This window comes from Homo sapiens, chromosome 20 (assembly GCF_000001405.40).
Source record: "Homo sapiens chromosome 20, GRCh38.p14 Primary Assembly".
Classification (NCBI taxonomy): Eukaryota; Metazoa; Chordata; class Mammalia; order Primates; family Hominidae; genus Homo; species Homo sapiens.
Genome location: NC_000020.11, coordinates 15,183,461 through 15,205,021, shown reverse-complemented (window position 1 = coordinate 15,205,021; position 21,561 = coordinate 15,183,461). Strand labels below are relative to the sequence as shown.

The 21,561-nt window shown below is 37.4% G+C and overlaps 1 protein-coding gene across 5 annotated transcripts in view; it reads right to left on the bottom strand.

Annotated features, from left to right (window-relative positions):
* Nucleotides 1–21,561, bottom strand: part of MACROD2 (mono-ADP ribosylhydrolase 2) — a 2,057,682-nt gene that overhangs the window by 848,176 nt on the left and 1,187,945 nt on the right. For 2 of the 5 annotated variants that reach the window (NM_001351664.2, NM_001033087.2), the window contains exon 1: nucleotides 7,990–8,182. The exons of the other annotated variants lie outside the window; for them this stretch is intronic. The gene's annotated coding sequence lies outside the window, so the exon portion shown is untranslated. Of the gene's footprint in view, nucleotides 1–7,989; nucleotides 8,183–21,561 lie in introns of those variants that run through there. 5 annotated transcript variants of the gene reach the window in all.

Below are 21,561 nucleotides of genomic sequence, written 5' to 3'. Positions count from 1 at the left end.
CTCACATATATAGAACATTATTTTATCTGTAGAGTAATTAAAGGTTTACTTTCCTTCTCTACACTAGGGCTGTTCTATTCCCTACATGCAAATGATAGGGTGTTTGGCAACTCAATTGCTGGTGGTCCTTTAGTCATATTATTGGGGTGCGTGGAAGATTCTACATCATTATGCAGTGGAATCTTTTTCTTTCTTTAGCCTTAGGATAGTCACTCTAGTATAGAAATTCTCTGAGAAATGCTACCAGGAATTCCCATTAAAAAGCCTAACAAATGTTTTCCAACTAATGCATTATGTTCTGAATTTATAGGCACAATCTGAGCGAAAAAGGTCTTGGCAGTCATTTAATGGAATTATTACAAAGGCAAATTAATATGTAGATTATTGGACAGTATTCATTTCATCATACAGGAGCATTTTAAAATTAGTTTCAGAAAAAGGGCACTCCATAATAAACTTTTAATTTCAAGAGTTGCACAAGGTAAGGGCTGAAAATTATAATAGGCCAGGTACCATGTCATCTCTGATATACTACAACACTTCTTTATGAGCACATTACAATTCAGAGAGCTAATAATAAAAAGAAGTGATGCTGAGATGATGAATTGATGCTATGCAATTAGACCTATTAGAATTCACAAGCGTCGACAGGCAATAATCAAACCCTTTTCACGCTGCCCATTGCAATTATCTTTGCACTTAAGATATCAACAAAGCACATAATGACTTGCACTCGATTAAAGAATTCATGAGAAATGGAATTTTAATTAGCGTGTGGAAAATTTGGGCCATTTATTACTTTACAGGACAACAAATTGTGAAAACTAGTTGAGAAGTTAAAAACAAGTGATAGATGCTTGGCTGGTCATGGTGAGAAAATTGGACAATGGAAATTTCTAATAGTGACCCCCACCAAAAAATTATGATTAATAAAGTAAAACCTATTATTGGGGAAGGGAGTTATAAGTGCATCATTGATATCATGGTTGATTGATACACAGACATTAAATCCATTCCCAATTTTGACTTTCCCAAAGCACAATATTTTATACCATTCACACTCACATACACACAAACGTAGTCACTTATACACCACCTACATCAGAATCAATGAATATCTATTCATTACTATCTGTGTGTAAAAAATAAAGTATATAATCTTAGAAGAAGTGAGATTATTAATTTAACATAGGATTTTTAAAAGTTCAGTGAGTGGAGATTTTGCTTACTCAATTTGCAGATTTTTGTGTTATGAAAAACTGCTATGTAATGGCTGTGTGTTTTTAATGATGTTTATTCATGAAACATGTTTTATTGTAATGCACTTGACCTTGGACTAGAAGATTAAATTATCTTAGTTTAGTTCATTTCAGATATAAATAATAGCTTTTGGCAGTTAACACATAAGTTAATGGAAATTCATATTTATCCAAAGTTTCCTGGATATTGAGTAAAAGGTACCATGTTTATAAATAAAAAATGTAAAGTGCCAATTTACAATGCAGTCAATTTAATAACATATTTCTCATGCTCAATTTATCATCTGATGTGAATCTAAAGTACAAATAGTCAAGGAATTATCCACAATCACTGCTGCACTCTGTGACTAAATGAAAACAAAACAAAGACTGAATACAATGGCCCTTCCCACTCGGTTCATAAAACAACCAGGAAAAGAAATCAATATTTATGAAAATAAACCATTGATTCAATCCCCAAACAAAGCCAAATTGTACATGAACAATTCTGGAAGTTATCTGTCTCTTGTCTTGTCCGTCTCATTTACTTTGTTGTTAAAAATTATACTAATTTGCGATGTAAGATTTGAATGTCTAAAATGTGGAAAATATTTGAATAAAAATCTATCCAATGTGGCATCAGATATTTTAAAACTTTATGACAATTTGAAAAACCAAATGTGTGATTTCTACAACAAAAAATTAACAAGTTCCCATCCCAATATGAACAAAGAATTGTGGCAGGGATTGAAATTTTCTATATCTATTTTTTCTTCTTTCTTCAAAGTAACAGAAACTTAATATTTAGCTAAGTTCACTGTTGCCAGGAATAAAATGTTACATTTTTCAGTAGTCCATGCCAGTAGATGTGGTCATGTGACCAAGTGTCTCATAGAGCTTCTGGAAAAGCTAAAAACATCAAAATGATTTCATTTTGCTCTTCTGACTTTCCTTTTTCTTTCTGTCTACACTGACATACTCTAACCTGATGATGGCTGGAACTCCAGCAGCCATCTTGGGTCATGAGGTAGATAAAATATCATAATACCTTTCAAATTATAGGAAGTTTTACACAGTAATTTGCATAATTCTACCATGCACATATTTTCCCACTTGAGTTGTAGGAACCCAGCAAGATAGGTCATTAAACAGTTTGTTTCTTTCCTTTCTTTTATATGCTGCTTCTTCCTGGGTTAATGTGATTATTTTAAATCATTTTAAAAAATAGATGAACTTAAAAGTACAATTCCAACAAGGCATTTAGAGAAAAGAAATATTAATGTGTAAAAACCATGGGCTGAGTCAAGTATTGCAGATGAATACTAAATTTAGTGTTGAGCTTCCAGGCAGCTAAAGAAAGAAATACACGAAGTTGTCCAAAGAGACAATCTGCTCTTTTCTTAACCTGATAGTAAATTTAAGGACGTCTACCTCATTGAACTCTCATATAAGGGATATTGAATGACATAGTGGATATCTTAAGCAGTAGTTATGCAAATGGTGCAGAAACATTCTGCATATAGCCACCACACTGTCATCAAAGAACCAGAGGGTATATCATTATCTCTTGATTTGGAACAAGATTTCTCCATGTAGCTAAAATGATATGACTTCGGCATAGTCTACTTTTTATACGGTTCAATTTTAGAGCATCTAAAAGAATAAGTGGTTCGTCTGGTCCTTCAAATGTCTCTTCCAAATATCAGGCACCATGAGTGATCTTTGAGTGATATTCAGGTTCAGGTATCAGTTCCCTTATGACCACCAAAATAATACTGCCCTAGATCCAATAAATAGGTGCCCCTTCCGTGGGTCCTGTATTTTATACACATGCCAATTTACTTTGGTCACTGGGATTCAGTGTTCAGCTCTGGCAGAATGTGATGTATAATCCTAAACATCTGATCTCATCATTAACACTGTTCAGACCCCAGGGAGGTGCTTACATCTCTTTTCCTGTATCTCAGAATAAAAGGAGACTGCATTTGAATGTCACAAAGGGTTGTGGATTGTGCAAATGCAGACATCAGAGATGGACACCCTTTCAGAGTGGAGGGAGGACTTAGCAATAGAAGTGCTTAGGTAAGGGGAAAAATAATTAATTAACCTGTCAAATCCTTTCTCTAAAATACCTTAAGTGCAAAAGATTCTCAAATAATAAAGTGTTGTTTCCTAGGAGAAACAACTATCCATCTCAATTTCTTTCATGTAACAAACTGTGGTCTTGGGCAGTATTCATGAATTAGAGTTGAATGTGTGACAGTTGCACGTATTGGCTAAGTCACCTATTGCAATAATAAGCAATTTGTATCATTGTCTCATGTACTTGTTGGCTTAATGTATAACTACTAAATGTTTATCCATATGGCATTAGGTGTCCATTTGTACTCTTGTCCTGGGTCCTGCGAATGTTAGAGGAGACATGGCCAAAATAGTTAAAACTTATGTGTCAAATTAAAAGTGTATTCATCTGCTTGGTATGTTAGATATCTGGGGAGGGGGGCACTCATCATTTGGCTTATTTTACAGGTGAGGAAACTGAGATCTGTAGAGAAGCTCTGTGTCAAAGAACCCAGTTTCCTTCTAGACAACCTAAGAGACTTTCCACTAACCCATGTTTCATCTCACCATAATTAACTTTTGCTTTATGTCCGAGATGCAGGGAGTTTGAGTACTTCTAAATTAAAGCTACCCAAATTATGGTTTGCAGATCAGCAGCAGCAGCAGCACCTGGGAGGTGGTTGGGAATTCGAAATCTTGGGGCCCCACCCTAAACCTGCTAAATCAGTCTCTGGGAGTAGCATTGGAAATCTGTGTTTAATGAGCTTCCTAGTGAATTATTTATGTACTCCCAGTTGATAATTTGCTTCTAACCCCTTGTTACTCAAAGTGTGGTCCATGGTCTAGCAACAGGGGCATCTCCTGAGAGCTTGTTACAAATGCAGAATCTCAGGCCCACTGAATCAGAATCTGCATGTTAAAAAGATGTATAGAGGATCTGTATAAACATTAAAGTTTGAGAAGGGCTGCTCTGATTGTATCTGTAACTTAAACAAATACCAGTTAGATTACCTATAGTGAAATCTCATAGATTTAGTCTCTGAACTACAAATCGGGATCATGCCTTGTGCCATTTTATAACTTTCTAGCACACGGAGTTTAAATAAACTGTAATGATTGCTAGCAAATAGCACAACCTGGGATCCTAGTGATCCCCTTACGTAGTTAATATGGTTTCACTTAGTTTCATCATTTTAAGTCTACTCAGAGAGTGGCACATGTTGCTTAGCCATTTAGAAATTTAAACATGATACAACCATACTGGTAAATGAGTCTTTTAAAGCCTCTGCAGCTACTAACAGTGATTTGATCTTTTCTCACCTTTACCCCACCAAAAATGAGGTAATTGGGTGACAGGGTCAAACATTGCAAAGAAAACCAGATTGAAAAAATAAGAGTATGGCAATTTAATCCAAAGGAAGGTGACTGAATATATAGTCATCAAAGTAGCATGTGAAGTTTCAGTATTTAAATCAGTCACCAGTGAATTCCCAGAGGGTGGGGGAGACTATCTGAAACCTCAAGTTTTTTACTCCAGTTTTTTTCTTCTTCAACTTATGACCCAGTATGCTGATGAAACAAGGCCTTAGCTGAAACTACGAAGGCCGCATTTCAGAGGTTAAGATAAATTTGGAGGCAGGTTCTTGAAAGAAGATAATTTTTCTCCTCTTATTTTTAACGGTTATTTACTCTAATAAATGTTTAAGTGTTTAGACTTGAAAATAACTACAATCTGAGTTGGTATCATTATGAATGACATCTTCAGAACTGAACTTTTCAACTTGACTTCTGCCTCATTATTGAATAGTAGGTGCTGTATGCTCTTTATATTCCTGTCCCCTGATGCTAATGATAGTAATGACCAAATGCTTAGAGGATGCCCAAAGGGTTGTGGCTACTTTTTGTTTCTGTTAAGTGCTGTAACAACTTATTTGGTCCTCATTTTGACAAAACACAGAAACAGAGGTAAAATAATTTAACAAACTTTAAAACAGCATGAACAAACTGGAAAATATTTCCATAAGCAAATATGACAAATGAATAATGTATTTAATCCATAAAAAGCTCATGTACGCCAATAGAAAATATCTATTTCCCCAATAGATACTTGAAAAAATGTTAATTATAATTTTAGTAACAATTATAACAAAGTCATTTAACGGCTCTTTACCACTGCCAGGAATTGTGCTAAGTATTATGCTTATAATATCTCATTTAATTCTTACTACTCTGTGAAGTCTTCATTATTATCGTCATTTTGCAAATGAAAGAATGGAAATTCAAAGAGGTTAAATAAGTCACCTGGAGTCACACATACATACATTTACACAGTGTTTTTGTTGTTGTTGTTTGTTTTTTGTTTTTTTGAGACAGGATCTTTTTCTGTTGCCTAGGCTGGAGTGCATTGGTGCGATCACAGCTCACTGCAGCTTCGACCTCCCAGGCTCAGAGTGATCCTCCCACCTCAGTCCCCCAAGTAGCTGGGACTATAGGCATGCACAACCATGCCTGGCTAACTTTTTTAACTTTTTGTAGACATGAGGTCTCTATATTGGCCGGGTTGGACTCAAGTAATCCTCTCACCTCAGCCTCCCAAAGTGCTAGGATTGCAGGCATCAGCCACTGCACTTGGCCTACAGTGCAGATTAATGTTACATCTGTCCAGTTGCCACTATCTAAAAGGATGTAGATCACGTACAAAAAAAAAAAAAAAAAGAAGTCCAGATGCTAATTCACATTTGAAAAAAAATGCTCAATGAAGCCACTATTCAATGACATTAAATTTAAAACAACTATTAGAAAAGACTGAACAATCTATGAAACTCGAACCCAGTCAGGAGGCCATGAGATAAGCACACATAAGCACTGGTGGAGTCACATGTCAAGAGCCTTTGATATGCTTCTAGTTCCCAGCAGATTGCTACACTCTACGGAGTCTCTTCTATGGAAATAACTTTGTAAATGTAAATTGTGGGGTTCATAAAAATTGCCCTCACAGGATTCTATACAAAAGAGAAATTGGGAAAAAATAAACTGCCAACCACAAGGGAGCAGTGAAATGAATTATAGTCCATTAACCCAAAGGAATATTATACCATTATTAAATAATAATTATGAGAAAGTTTACACAGGATAATACTAATGATATAGTATTTTATTGAAAACATGAAGACGCTCAGTTGTATATCCAGTGATCTCTAGTATACAAATGTAAATAAATAGGTATAAAAAATAATAAAAATGCCAAGTGTCAAATGTAAGCAATAATTATCTCTGAGCAGTAAATTTATGACGAATTTTTGCTTTTTATTATGCCTTCTAATAAACATATTCACTTAGAACTGACGCGTTGGCAATGCTTATAATTAGAAAATTAAGAACTACCTTAACTTTTAAAAATTGGAAACTTCTGGCCAGGCACAGTGGCTCACACCTTGTAATCCCAGCACTTAAGGAGGCTGAGAGGCTGGGTGCGTTGGCTCATGCCTGTAATTCAAACACTCTGGGAGGCTGAGGCGGGTGGATCACGAGGTCAGGAGTTCGAGACCTGTCTGGCCAACATAGTGAAACCCCGTCTCTACTGAAAATACAGAAATTAGCCGGTGTGGTGGTACACGCCTGTAGTCTCAGCTACTCAGGAGGCTGAAGCAGGAGAATCGCTTGAACCTGGGAGGTGGAGTTTACAGTAAGCTGAGACTGAACCATTGCACTCCAGCCTGGGTGACAGAGCAAGACTCCGTCTCAAAAAAAAAAAAAAAAAAAGGAGGCCAGGCCAAGGCAGGAAAATTGCTTGAGTCCAGGAGTTCAAGACCAGGCTGGGCAACATGGCAAAAACCCGTCTCTACAAAAAATATAAAAATTAGCCAGATGTGATGGTGTGCACCTCTAGTCCCAGCTACTCAGGAGGGTGAGATGGGAGGATTACTTGAGCCCAGAAGGCAGAGGCTGCAATAAGCCATGATCATGCCACTGCACTCCAGCCTGGGCAATAGAGAAAGACCCTGTCTCAAAAATAAAGTAAAATAAAATAAAGATTGGAAACTTCTCAAAATAATCACAGAAAAAGTAAATATCAAAAAACTAATTTGGGGGACTTAGGGAAATTAAAAAGAATAATCACTTAAAAAAAGTGATAAGCATTAAATCTAAACTCTGTAAAATTTGGCTGTAGGCCAGAGATTCAATTGTCTAGTGGGTAGTCTTATTCCTGTTCCCCTAAATTAAGAAAGGCTTATATGTCTCGATACAACTAAAATACAATACTTTAAAAATATTTTAAACATTTCATTGTTGCCTAATGGTAACACACAATAATGAGATATAATCTGTTTAAAACGCTAAGAATATCATTCAATGTTTAAAAATCTATAAAACTATGAAAACACATATATATATATACTATTTTAATTATTAGCAATATTTACTAGTATTCTCTTTTTGTGTAAAATATAGAAAAGTAAATTTTCTCCTTTGGGATGTCATTTTTATGATGAACATTGAAACCAAACTTTGAGCAAAAAGCCCTTCATGGTTAACTGACAAACTAAATGAAGAAAAGATTAAAGGTACCTTAAAAAAGAGTCACTCATATATGGGGAACAGGGAAACTCACCAGGGCATGAAAAGGAGAACCAAACCAGACATGAAGAGGACCTTATAAGGACCTTATAAGAGTGAGCAAAATACTCACCTGCATAAACTGGCTCTATGCGACCTTCCTGAGTGTTGAGTTTCCAAAAAATGTGCTCTTTGGATACCTGAGGCCCAAAGGGCTCCAATTTTTAAAGGTTTTTTATGTAGTCTTTCCAAAATGTGGCAAGTGCATCCCTGGTAAGGCCTGAGCCTGTCATCTGCTTCTCGATAGTGGCATATCTGGTATGGATAAGACTCAGGCACTTCAAGGCAGAAGGGAGGGGTAGAGAAATATTATGGGGTGGCTGAAGTGGGTACTTCCTGATTTCAAGTACATATTGTACCTTCTTCACAGTTTTCCCTCTGCTCAGTCCTGGCCAACAATGAAACATAATTTAAAAACCACTGTCAAAAACATATCCAAAACCTGGAACAGGTGAAAGTGTTTTTGCAGAGTAGTGTTTGGCTTGGCTTACTACTGATTGGACTACTTTACAACTCTTAGAATGCAGACGTTAACCCATAGATTTTTGTCCAGTAGAGATGTAAATTATTTCTTTTCAATGGAAGGTATAATCCCAAGGATTATGGTTTATGGTCCTCTAAGACATTCACCAATTTTGTATCTAAGCCAGAAATCTTATTCTAACATCTCGGGTAAAATTGCCATATATCTTAGCTCCTCAAATGCTCCTTAAGACTGATTTTAACATCTTACTAGTTTCCTTATTAATTAATGAATTAAATAATGCATTTGTTGTATGTTCTTGTTATATTTGTATGTTATATTTTTAGTTTTTTTGAAATCAATTCTTTTTTTTTTCATTTTTTAATCTTCAACTTCTATTTTAAGTTCAGGGGTACACATGCAGGATATGCAGGTTTGTTACATAGGTAAACATGTGCGATGATGGTTTTGCTGCACAGATCATCCAATCACCTAATCACCTAGCTATTAAACTCGGCATCCATTAGCTATTCCTCCTGATGCTCTCCCTTTCCCTGCTCCACTCTTAAGGGCCCCAGTGTGTGTCGTTCCCCCGTGTGTCCATGTGTTTTCATTATTCAGCTCCCACTTATAAGTGAGAACATGCAGTGTTTGGTTTTCTGTTCTTGCATTAGTTTGTTGAAGATAACAGTTTCCAGCTCCATCTATATCCCTGCAACAGACAAGATCTCGTTCCTTTTTATGGCTGTGTCATATTCCATGGTGTATATGTACCACATTTTCTTTATCCAGTCTATCATTGATGGCCATTTGGGTTGATTCCATATCTTTGCTGTTGTGAATAGTGATGCAATGAACATATGCATGCATGCATCTTTATAATAGAATAATTTACATTCCTTTGGGTATATATCCAGTAATGGGTTTGCTCGGCCAAATGGTATTTCTGCATCTAATCTTTAAAGGATCGCCACACTGTCTTCCACAATGGTTGAACTAATTTATACTCCGACCAACAGTGTAACAGCGTTCCTTTTTCTCTGCAACCTTACCAACATCTGTTGTTTTTTGACTTTTTAACAATGACCATTCTGACTGGCATCAGATGGTATCTCACTGTGGTTTTGATTTGCATTTTTCTAATGACCAGTCATGTTGAACTTTTTTTTCATGTTTGTTGGCTGCAAGTATGTCTTCTTTTGAGAGGTGTCTGTTCATGTCCTTTGCCCACTTTTTAATGGAGTTGTTTTATTTCCTGTAAATTTGTTTAAGTTTCTTATAGAATCTGGATATTAGAACTTTGTCATATGGATAAATTGCAAAAATTTTCGTCCATTCTGCAGGTTGTCTGTTCACTCTGATCATAGTTTCTTTTGCTGTGCAGAAGCTCTTTAGTTTACTTAGACCCCATTTGTCAATTTTTGCTTTTGCTGAAATTGCTTCTGGTGTTTTTGCCACAAAATCTTTGCCTATGCCTATGTCCTGAATGGTATCACCTAGGTTTTCTTCTAGGGATTTCACAGTTTTGGGTTTTACATTTAAGTCTTTAATCAATATTGAGTTAATTTTTGTATAAGATGTAAAGAAGGGGTCCACTTTAAATTTTCTGCATATGGCTAGCCAGTTCTCCCAGCACCACTTATTAAATAGGGAATCCTTTCCCCATTGCTTAGAAAACGATTCTTTAATACCACAAAAGTTAAAACTGAAAGACTTCTTACAAAATAATTTGCCTATACTCTTAAAAATTTCAAGATTATGAAAGAAAAAAGGATTAGGAACCACGAGGCTGGAAGAACATGACAGCTAAATGCAAACAGTAACTCTGGAGTGGATCCTGGACTAGAAAAGTGTTTTTCTTCCTTCCACTGTAACAGAAATTAGTGAAAAAAATAAGGAATACTAAGATCTAAAGGTTAGATAATAGCATTTAATCAATGTTAATTTCATGGTACTGTCATTATGTAATATAATTGTTTTTAAGAAATATTCTCTAAAATATTTAAGGGTAAAGAGCACCAACTCTGCAAGTTACCTCAAATAATTCAGGAGTTAATAATATATACATATTATTGATGTTATGGAATGATTAAAAAACATGGTAAAGATAGATTTCACTGAGAAATCAGTGAAGGGTGTACTAGAATTGTTTGCGTTATTTTTACAACCCTTCTGTAAGTCTAGAAGTTTTCAAAGTAGAAGATTAAAAATAATGCTACACAAATAAGAATCAGTTAAAGCATGCATGAAATCATGTAATCAAGGTCATCCATAACAACACTAATAAACTCTGATTTAACACTGTATGGTTGATACAATTCTTTTCCTTCCCTTTATTATCTAGCTTTACCTGACTGATTTCTGGAAGAAGCTTTTTTTTTTTTTTTTTTTTTTTTTGAGACAGAGTGTCGCTCTGTCACCCAGGCTGAAGTTCAGTGGCTCAATCTCAGCTCACTGTAACCTCTGCCTCCTGGGTTCAAGCAATTCTCCTGCCTCAGCCTCCCAAGTAGCAGGGATTACAGGCACCCACCATCATGCCTGGCTAATTTTTGTATATTTGGTAGAGACAGGGTTTCACTATGTTTGCCAGGCTGGTCTTGAACTCCTGACCTCAGGTGATCTGCCTGCCTTGGCCTCCCAAAGTGCTGGGATTACAGGTGTGAGCCACCACACCTGGCCTACCTGATTTCTTTTAAACTTTCACAGTATAAACAATTTTCTCCCCCAATTGAAGCATGGAAAGATTCAGCAACCATCATCTCATTACTAATCTGGTGATTCTGCCAATACCTGATGCTGCTTTTTACTATAGACACCAGGTTGGAGATTTTCTCACCCGCTCCTTTGTACATAACCACCAAGAGAGGGCTGTGAGAGTAGGAGAATGAAGGAGTGACAGCGGGGCTGGGGAAATGAGAGGATGAGGGTGGGAGCCAGCGTGCAAGACGGCAGGCTATTTATTCATCATTCATCTCCCATTTCTTTCTTTCTTTCCTTGAGTCAGGGTTTTGTTCTGTCACTCAGGCTGGCTAGAGTGCAGTGATAGGGCTCACTGCAGTCTCAAACTTCTAGGCTCAAGAGTTCCTCCGACCTCAGCCTCTCAAGTAGCTGGGACTACAGGTGTGTGCCACTACACTTGGCTAAGTTTTTTATTTTTATATTTGTAGGCATGGGGTCTTGCTATGTTGCCCAGGCTAGTCTCAAACTCCTGGCCTCACGTCATCCTCCCACCTCAGCCTTCCAAGCATCTCCCAGTTCTATCAACTGTATGTTAGCTACCATTCTTTTCTCTGAAGTCTGTCTTGATACTATACTACAGTTCAAGCAGAAAGAGCTATTTGGGAAGAAGCAACTATGGCTCTTTCTGCCAAGTTAATTTGATATAGATTTTGGAAGAACTTCTTTTAAAGTAATACTCTAATACATATTTCTATAGACTCAGAAAACTTATAAGAAAACAAGATAAAGAAAGAAGTAAAGAAAAAGAATAAAGGAGAGAGAAGAGAAAGAAGATGGGAGGTAACTACACAAACATGCAGACCTAGAGCCTGCTGATGACCAGTGGACGTATTCTCATGCACAACCGAAAACTCAGATTTGCTTCTTCAATGACACCAACTTTCAACCAGGCCACCAGGACAGCACAAAGCTGACAGCTCTGTCTCTGTTAATAAAGACTCAGAAATAGCTTAGCAGTGTGTTTTGACACCAAAAATTCACTGCGGAGTTAGAGATCAGTTTGTTAGGAACATTGCAAACTATAAAAATCTAAAAGGTTTTTAAATATTAATAGCACTTGAATGGTTTTCTCCCAGATGGCCACAAAGCTGACTATAGTTCTCTCCTAGAACCCTCTGCTGTTTATCCTCTAAATGTCCCCAATATAAAACAGTTTTAATCTTTGTTGCTGCTGTAAAACTTGATCTACTGTGGAACAACATAATTAAGTGTCAGTGTCTGGATGTATGGAGTGAGATACAGACAGAGTAATCCAGGATGTATGTCACTAATAATTTAGTTTATGGCTAAGTGATAATGGGATCCCTGAGTATTAGCAGGATGCCTGGCACTGGAGGCTTCTTAGCTTGAAGCCCAGGTGTGTGGACATATGAGGTGGCAGAGGTGGTGCTGGTAGGAGCACGTTTGCCTCACTTTTTGCCTATGTCTTCTAGTTCATTTGCCTGTTAAAGGTCTACATCACTCTCACAGTACAATTTTAATGTAAATCCAACTAGAAAGGAACAACAGTTTGATTTGAAAGATTTGATGTTCCGTTGTACTTGTTCTTGTGAAAATTATGAAAAGGTTGTGAATTAAAATGTAATTGACAGAGAGCTACTATCTTGATGTTATGGCTTGCTGGCAGTGTTGGAAAGCCAACCCAGAAGGTGATCCAAGTTACATGTACAAACAATGAGAGTTATGAACAGAAAGGAAGAGGCGGAGAGGAAGGAGTGAAGACAGAGGAGACGGAAAAGGGGAAGAATGAGAAAGGTGGGAAGGAAAGGGAAGAGAGGATTAATATTTTCTGGGATCAATTCCCAAATAAACTAATATATATGGAGAGAGAGAGAGTTTTAGATAGATAGATAGATAGATAGATAGATAGATAGATAGATAGATAGATACATAGTTAATAGAGGGCACATATAGTTATATAATTTATTTAACTATATAAAGTTGTATATATGTATTAACTCTCTCTCTCTCTATATATATATATATACACATATGTGTAGTTTTCTAAATTTTTGATGATTTGGTTGTTGTTATATAACTTAAATGCTTCATGAATCAGGCAAAATTTCACCTTCAAAATGAAGATATCCCTACCTCCTGCCTAATCCTTGAGCTGGGGTTTTATCTTCCCTGTGCAATGCTCAGAAAGGCATAATAACATTTATCACATTTATTTTTTTCTTTCTCTGTTTTCATAGCCGACAGAAAATATTTCTGATTGGCAGAGGGTTTTTTCTTTAGGCAGGTGGAATGGCTTATGCCCTGCAGCCTGGGATTCATTTGTCGTTTAAGGTGACTTTGTATGTGGCTGCTCTGACCCCTTTTGTGTTGATCATCTTATGGTTTACATCTCAAAGAGCAGGCTTCTTTGATGTTCCTCAGTGAAGGGCTGGGTTCGGGGACTTGTGCTGCAGCACACAGTTTTGGCTGCCCCACGCCACACCCTTTGGCCCACCTCTTCACTATAACTGCAGTCAAGAGGTGAACTGTTCCTGGCATCCTAATGGCTTCCCACCTCAAATGCCTTCAGGGCAATCAAATCTTCTATCTCAGGGCTTTCTCTGAAGCCTTATGCACAGCCTGTGTGTGTGAGCTCATCCCAGAAGTGCATAGATGTGAATGTCCCTGCAGACAACCCTCAACCACTGGGGGCTGGGAGTCAGTGAATAAATACTTCTGCCTCCTGTTCTCTGTAGGGACAATTCTGAGGTACATTCTACATAGTTGCCCAGAGGAACCTCAGTGGAAATGAGCCCCAGGCTTCACTGTCTCACTCTCCCCACTTCTTCATTTTTGTTTTCTGGGGATCACTTCCCAAATAAACTATATGTGCCCTGGATTAACTATGTATACAGTTTTCTATATTTTTGATAATTTGGCACTGCGGCCTTGCTGACCAAGGAGGGATGGCCTCTATCAGGGTTAGTCAGTTCTTAGAGATAGCAAATGAGCCCTGGGGAGCATGCTTTTCATATCCAAACCAACCCATCCAGACCGCATACTCTGAACTATATGACTCTTAAACATGAGGGGTCAATAGTTCTTTCCCATAATTATCCCAGGGCAAGGTACCAGACCACTAGAGATGGTCCCTAAATGCCAATTCTAAACCTGCGTATCCTGCCTTGCCTGGCTTTTCCTGCAGAAACCACTCTAAGGCCTCCTGTGCACCCTTTCCCCTCACTCCTTTTGCCTGCTGACTGGGCCTGGTGCTATCCTGTGTGGCCCCACAGGGCATGGCTGCCCCCTCTTCTTAGGAACTGTGAGTAACAAACTATCTTTTCAATGCTGGTTACCTCCTGACCTGTTGGCCTCATAATACCTGAATAATGAAATCTATGCTTTAAAATAGTCCCAGATTCTTATCTCAGGCTCTGATTTCAGAGGAACTCAAAGACTGATGATTACCTATACATATTTTCTAAACGAATGCACGATCCAATGATGCTCGAGAGGTAATTCTACAGAGGAGGAAGAGGAAGAGCATTCAGTTGAATGGCCTCTACTGAGGGGACTATGAATATGGGATGAGCACTGAGCTCATCTGCTGAGCCATTTAACTACACGTCTCACATCCTTGCAGCACCTACTGTATTATCACCCAGCACTCCTTTCCTTAAGGTGTCTTGGAGAATCATGAATGGCAGGTAGCTTGCACCATAAGATGCCAGAGGAGAAAATGAGGTTAAGAAAATCAAGAAATTAAGTTAAGAGAATCTATTTAAAATAAGAAACACATACTGCCCTTGTTAGGGGATAGATTTCCCATTCTTATTTTTAAACTGAGAGTACATTATAGTTATATGTTAAATATACATCACAAGAGGATAAAGAATGAAAGTCAAAACAAGTTGAAGAGAAAGAAGGAAGTAGTATGTATTTGAGCCTCTCAGTGAGAAGAGAGGCCATTTTTCATCTCAGGCCCCAGGGTATCTGTTAGTGCATTGGGAGAGGTAATTCATTAAATGAACCTAAGGTTAATGCACCTTCAAAAGAGAGCAATTTATCTCCTCTTCTTCAATAGGATCAGGCCAGGAGGTTCTACCGTTGGAAAAAAAAAATCATCTCGGTGAGATAACACTGTAATGATCTCAGGTCCCCTGAATTCCATCTTTCTCATTTATTATACCTACATGACTAATGCACTGAAGAGGATCTGTATTTTCTCCTCAAGATATAAGTACTTAAGTTATTTCTTGAACACCAGGATATTTTTATATTTCTCTTTATATATTTTCCTTCACCTACTGAATTCTCATATTCCAGCCTGACCGAAGTGCAGCCAGGGAGGCATCAAAAAGGAGGGACACACTAGCTTAAAGTAGTTACTCAGAAATTGTAATAGCCTATTTTAGAATAAAGTCAATAATAGCAGTTATGATGTTATTATAAAACATGCTGAGTTAACCAAGTGAAACCAAGGGAAACAAACACAGCTACAAGTGAAATTTTTCATGCTAGATTGCCCGAATTCCGGTTGATTCTCAGAAAAATTATTCAGCTTCTCTCTTTCTCTCTCTGTGTATGTGCGTGTACATACATATACACATACACACATATATTTACACACATACATATATACCCCCATACACTTATAAGTATTTCTAGAATTTTAATAATATGCCAAGCACTATGTTGGTCATGGAAAAAAAAAAAAAATAAGTCCTGGTTTCTGCCCTGTTCATGGTAGTCATGCAGGGACTCAGCCTGATGGAGGCTCCAAGTTGGCTAGGTGCTTTCATTATTACCTTATGAAAAAGGTGGCATGATAAATCATGGATTAGCTCTCAATCCCTTCACTCAGAAGTGAAATATATCACTGTTACCCACATGTCATTGGCCAAATCCAGCCATATGACCATGCTGAACCCTAAAGGGGATAGGAAATTAAAATCTTATCTTTGGGCTAAATGGCAGGAAACCAGAAATGTTTGATAAATAGCACTGATGTCTGTGACATTTACCAATCAACAGTGGTGAAATTTATTTCCCTTCAGGGTTTATGTAACTTTAGCTGAGTTATAGTTTACTGCCCAAGGCTGAATATAGTTCCAAAAAAAGAGCAAGAGTAAGTTCTTACTATTTTAGGGGGGACAATTACAAATTGCCAAGCAGATTGGCTACATGTATTTCAAGGTCAAAAAACTCATATTCCCTTAGGAACAGTGCCTTATAAATAAAGTCATTGTCATAAATGACAACTCATTTAAGGAATCACACACCAAACACATAGAGTTTTCATCACCTGAGTCTCTCAGAATAATAAATGTTTCGCAATGCACTTGAGGCATCATCTTATGACCTGGGCTTACAATGAGAAAAGCATATCTTTGAAAAGTATGAAGAGAAGAATACGGGCTTTCACACAAAATGAACAGTGCTGAATCCACTAAATAGTCTGGCTTCAAGGGAAACTGCTAGCACAAAAAACAGAGGGCCCTGCCCAGACACTGAACCTGATTAGAATCGGCTAACCCTAATAGGTTAATATACTAACCATGTTGCTCGACTCTTTGGAGATACAGAGGTTTGAACACACGCCATTATGGATATTTTATTGTTATTTGAGCACAAAGTAGGTATTTTCTATTTTGATCTGCTACTTCTTTCTCCCCTGGCTCCTTTTCAGCATTGAACTGGGGGCAGAGGGAGGTGAAGGAAAATAAACTTTGATACGGAATTGAGGCAAGTGGTCAGTTCTGCTTTGTCAATGATAGACAGCCTCGACAACAAAGGTCAAATAAGACTGGAATAATTTATATGAGAAAGTGAGGACTTTATGCAAAAATATATTAATATATCAAAGATGATGGCTGTCTTACCATTGAATGTTCTTTTCCTAGATTGATGTGCCGAATTTTATAAAAATCCTACGATTGTGTTTCTGAAAGCCCCCATTACATTCGTGTGTAGGGGATGGATGGAGGGAGAATCCAGGATAATTAAGGACATCAGAAGTATCCTTAATACCAGAAGAAAAAGGAAGAAAAACACAACTTTTTTGAACCTCCCTTGTGAAACAATTTTTAAAAATGAACCAAATATTAAACAACCAATTTCTGAGAACACAGAACAAATTGCTTACTCATGGATAATTATGAACAAATGAACAAATAGCAGGCTTGGAGATTATGATAAACCCTTAAAGGAGAAATGTAATTAATGATGATGATAAAAATGCTAAGTATTTGTAATAATAATTACAACATGTCTGTCTCCAGAGGTCCTAGTTTTTGATGTTCCTTTTCAGAAAACATCATCAGAGTTTAATCAAAGGCACTGAAGGAAAATATGGCTAATTTTCTCCTTAACTACACTGAATGTCCATGGAAAAGCTGTTGGTTATCATTGAGAGATGTTCCAGTATATATTGAAATGGTCCCTGTTGTGCATGGGGACAGCTGTCTCATTGTCCAGTAACCTTAAATGCTGGGTGTGCATACAAGGTTCCTTTCCTCCTAGGCTGACTTTAGTTGATCCATAATAGATCTATTAGCCAAGGATTTATCTAAACCATTTTAAAACTTATTTATATTGTGAATCTTTTTTACTTTTTTGTGTGTTCAAGTGCTTAATAAAATTATTGAGTTTGATGTAAGGCATATTTTAACATGTCTGAAAACAAGTATCACAGAATTCACAGCTGGAAAAGACCTCGGGTCATCATAAAGGGGAAATGTCATTTGCCTAAAGTCACACAGTCAGTAAAATGAAAATCCTGGCTTCTAAAACCAGTTCACTGGACTCCAAAGCAGCCTCCTAAAACTAGCTTATGTGCCAGTGAGATCTGAAGCAGTGGCTCTCAACCATCAATCATGTCGCTGGCTCTTTGGCAGTTTGGTGGTGCTATGGACTGTTCACATAGTAGTGTTTCCAAATGAATAAAATACAATATATAGGATTACAAAGAAAATGATTTATACTAAAATATGCTTCTTAAAAAATAGGCATAGATATTTTAAAAACTTATCAGATGTTAAAATATGCGTCATGATTAGCACATGAATAAAATTTAGTTGAAGTTTTAATAGCTAGCATACTTTTGAAGCAGTTAGGAACACAAATGAGACTTCTAAGATATCCGCAAGTGGAGTGTGACACAAAAATACCTGAGACTTCCATGGGAGGCCAAGTTTCAGGCACTGCTGTTAACTTTTGGAGTTCAAGGACTACATTCATCATTGAAGGACATATAAATTTCAGTTAGTAGTTAGTGAACAATAAAAATTTTTTTTTCCTATTCTACTTCATGGGTCCAGGATTTTGAATCCCAGACCCCAGATTTACCAGATTTAACCCAATAATGCATTCATACATATACTATTGTATATTTGGGTATACCATCTCCAACAAATACTTATTTAGCACTTCCTGTTTCCTTGCTGCTGTCTTAAGTCCGGAAGAAATACAGTGAACAGTTCCTGTTTTATGGAGCCTAGAATTCAATTATGAAGACAAGACCCACACACACTGATATTTTAAAATATTCCATAAAAGAAAAAAGTAGACTTCAGATCATTGGAGGGCAAGGTTGTCTAGAATCTGGTGCCAACTGAATGCTAAATGCATTAAAGCAGGTGTGCAGGTGAACAGAACCTGGGTGCTAGTTCGTCTGCTGACTGCCTAATCCACCAGGTATGATGAAGGAGAGAAAGAACAAGTGGAACAAATAACTTTCAAATCTAGATAGAGAGCCACACAGCCAAAGCAGATACCCCCAAAATGTGAAGCAATATATCAAAAAGGCCCAGACTAAATAGACAAAGTTCAGGGCGCTCCAGAAAAAAAAGGTGTTTTCACTGCATGATAAGCATAAAGGCAGGTTTTCAGGCAAAGACCCCATTGTCTTTGGTTTACATTCACTCTCCATCCATCTGTGAAAACATACACATACCCCAGTCTTTTGTTGACATAAATGGCTCCAAGTTTGATTCCTAGGCTGGCAAACAAGGAGTCATTTCTCATGAGTGAGTGATATATAATACTGCATTCCTAAACGTTTTCTCCCCCAAATTCCCGACAGGAGTTTGAATATCCACTTTGAAACTTGATGATAAATGGTGGAAACTCATTTCCTTCTAGTATTGCTGTTAGAATAAGACTTATTTAGCAAACAACAGATTAGTCGACTCTGAACTAAGCAGGAGGATGGCCTCTGGTTCATAGTTTAGAAACTGAGATTTCTTTTGCTTTTATTGAATACGTCCAACAATACAAAGAAGGGACAGCCTAGTTAATTTTAACTTTGTTATCAGACCATCTAAGTCGTTATATTTATAAATTAATTATGTAGTAAATTTAATAATAGGCAGAAGACATTTGAAACTGACTTCCTTTAAAGAGTTCCTAAGCTAATAATGACTATACTCACCAAAAATATGACATAATTGCCTTGAAACTTAATCTGATCCACTTTAGCCCAGATAAATGATACAGCATGTTGCTTAAATGAAATCACCACTTGTTACACACTCAGGAAACTGTAATTTAGGGCTAAATGTTGTGAATTATTTGAAGATAATCTATTTGGAAATCATAGAATGAGCCACCATAGACATTTCGAGGCATCAGAAAGAAAAGAATTCAAAAGAATATTATATTATCTCATGTACCAAAAGTTTAAACTATTAAAAGCTGACAGACTAATTATTTTCTTCTCAAATGGTGAGTCTGTGTTTATTCCCTTTTCATCAGAAACTCATTCATTCATCAATTTGACAAATGTTTATGGGAACCCCTAGATGTCTGGTAATAGGGAGGATACAAAGATAAATAGAGTATGATCTATGTACTTAAGGATCCTATGATACAGTAACAAGACAAGATGTGCATGCAATCAACAAAGTGTCAAGCTCCACATGGTTAAAGAGCATTTCTTCAAATCTGCCCCCACTGTATTTAGTAGTCCATTAAAGCTCCCATCATATTATCATAGAGTTGTTTGAATGCCTGCCTCCCTACTGAAACAACAGCTCCCGAAAGATATGGAGGTCATCTTATCATTTTGTCTCTAGGGCCAACAATATGACTTGCAGGTGTATTTTAAACATATATTAATTGAATGGAAGGGCAAGCGTATTTCTAATTAGCATTATCAGAGAGTGCTCTTGGATCAGTGAGGTTTTTAAGCTGGCCTGTGAAAACTAACTTGATACTTTCCTCCTGGGGAACTGGGAAGACCGCATTTCCCAGAATTGTCGCACCTGGCTGAGATCAGGTGGCTGAGTGCTGGCCAATGTTGATGAAAGCTGTGAAGGCCACTCTCAGGTCCAGCCATGAAATATTCCACGTTATCCTTTATTTTCTCTCTTTTGTCCACATGTCTAGAAGTGGAGGACTTGGGAGGGTAGAACCACATGTTTGAAGGACCCTAAATCCCCAAGTTTACTGCTTACAGGAGACTCACTCAACTAGGAGGATGACATTGGCCTTTGTGTGAATGAGAAATAAACCTTTATCAGGTCACTGAGATGCTGGGGTTGTTTATTATAGCAACTACCCTGTTCTGACTGACACATGTGGGTAAAATATTGATAGGTAAAAACAGGGGGCAGTGGACAGAGCAGGTCATTCCTTTTGAAGGGGATGACATGAGTTAGATTTACAAATCCATGGGAAGGCACCCAACCCCAGTATTTCCCCTAAAGATAGAATTGTTCTCTTAGCTTACTTTTAGTTAGGATATCATGAAGCAGGGGCAGTAAGCTCATGGGCCCAATCTATTCCTTTGGATGTTATATTTGTCTAAGGCAGTGTTGGTCCGCACAGTATTATAAACAGTTGAATTTTTTGTTGCTAATAATTTTTAAAAGGGGAGGGTTCCTTGAAACATTCGCTATCCGGAATGATTCAGACTGAGTAGCATCTGATCCCTTTAAATAAGGCCTGGGTTCTTTAACTTTATGCAGCATCCCCCACTCCCTCCTGCCTCACACCCAGTCTAGTTCCAGCAGATAGTTGAGTTTGACACTCCTTCGTTTTAAGCCATTAAGAATTGGGGCTCCAGGCCCATGCAGTGACTGTGTGTTTATTTGATAGGTTATCCTCATCTTGTTCCAGGTAGTGGCTGTATCTGTTCCAGGGGAAGATGCACACTTGTGAAAATGTTTGTGGTGTGATAAAACAAGGGCTTTTGTTCAGGATGTGATTGGGAACACCACAAGCCTATCATTCTGGATGCTGCCTACTGTTTTGGGCTTAAGACAATGTTGCTGGTCTAGCCATTGCAATGGACATCAGGAGGTTTTACTCTCTGCTCTCTTCACTTCTGCATAAAAGATAATTATTTCAGAAAGAATAGCTTTATTTGAGTATATACTAGAGGTATGGGGCATGGGGAAAGGATAATCCAGAATAACTATCCGAGTGCAATATAGTAAATAAGATCTATTTTTTTTTTTAAGAGACAGGGTCTTGTTCTATTGCCCAGGCTAGTGTGCAGCC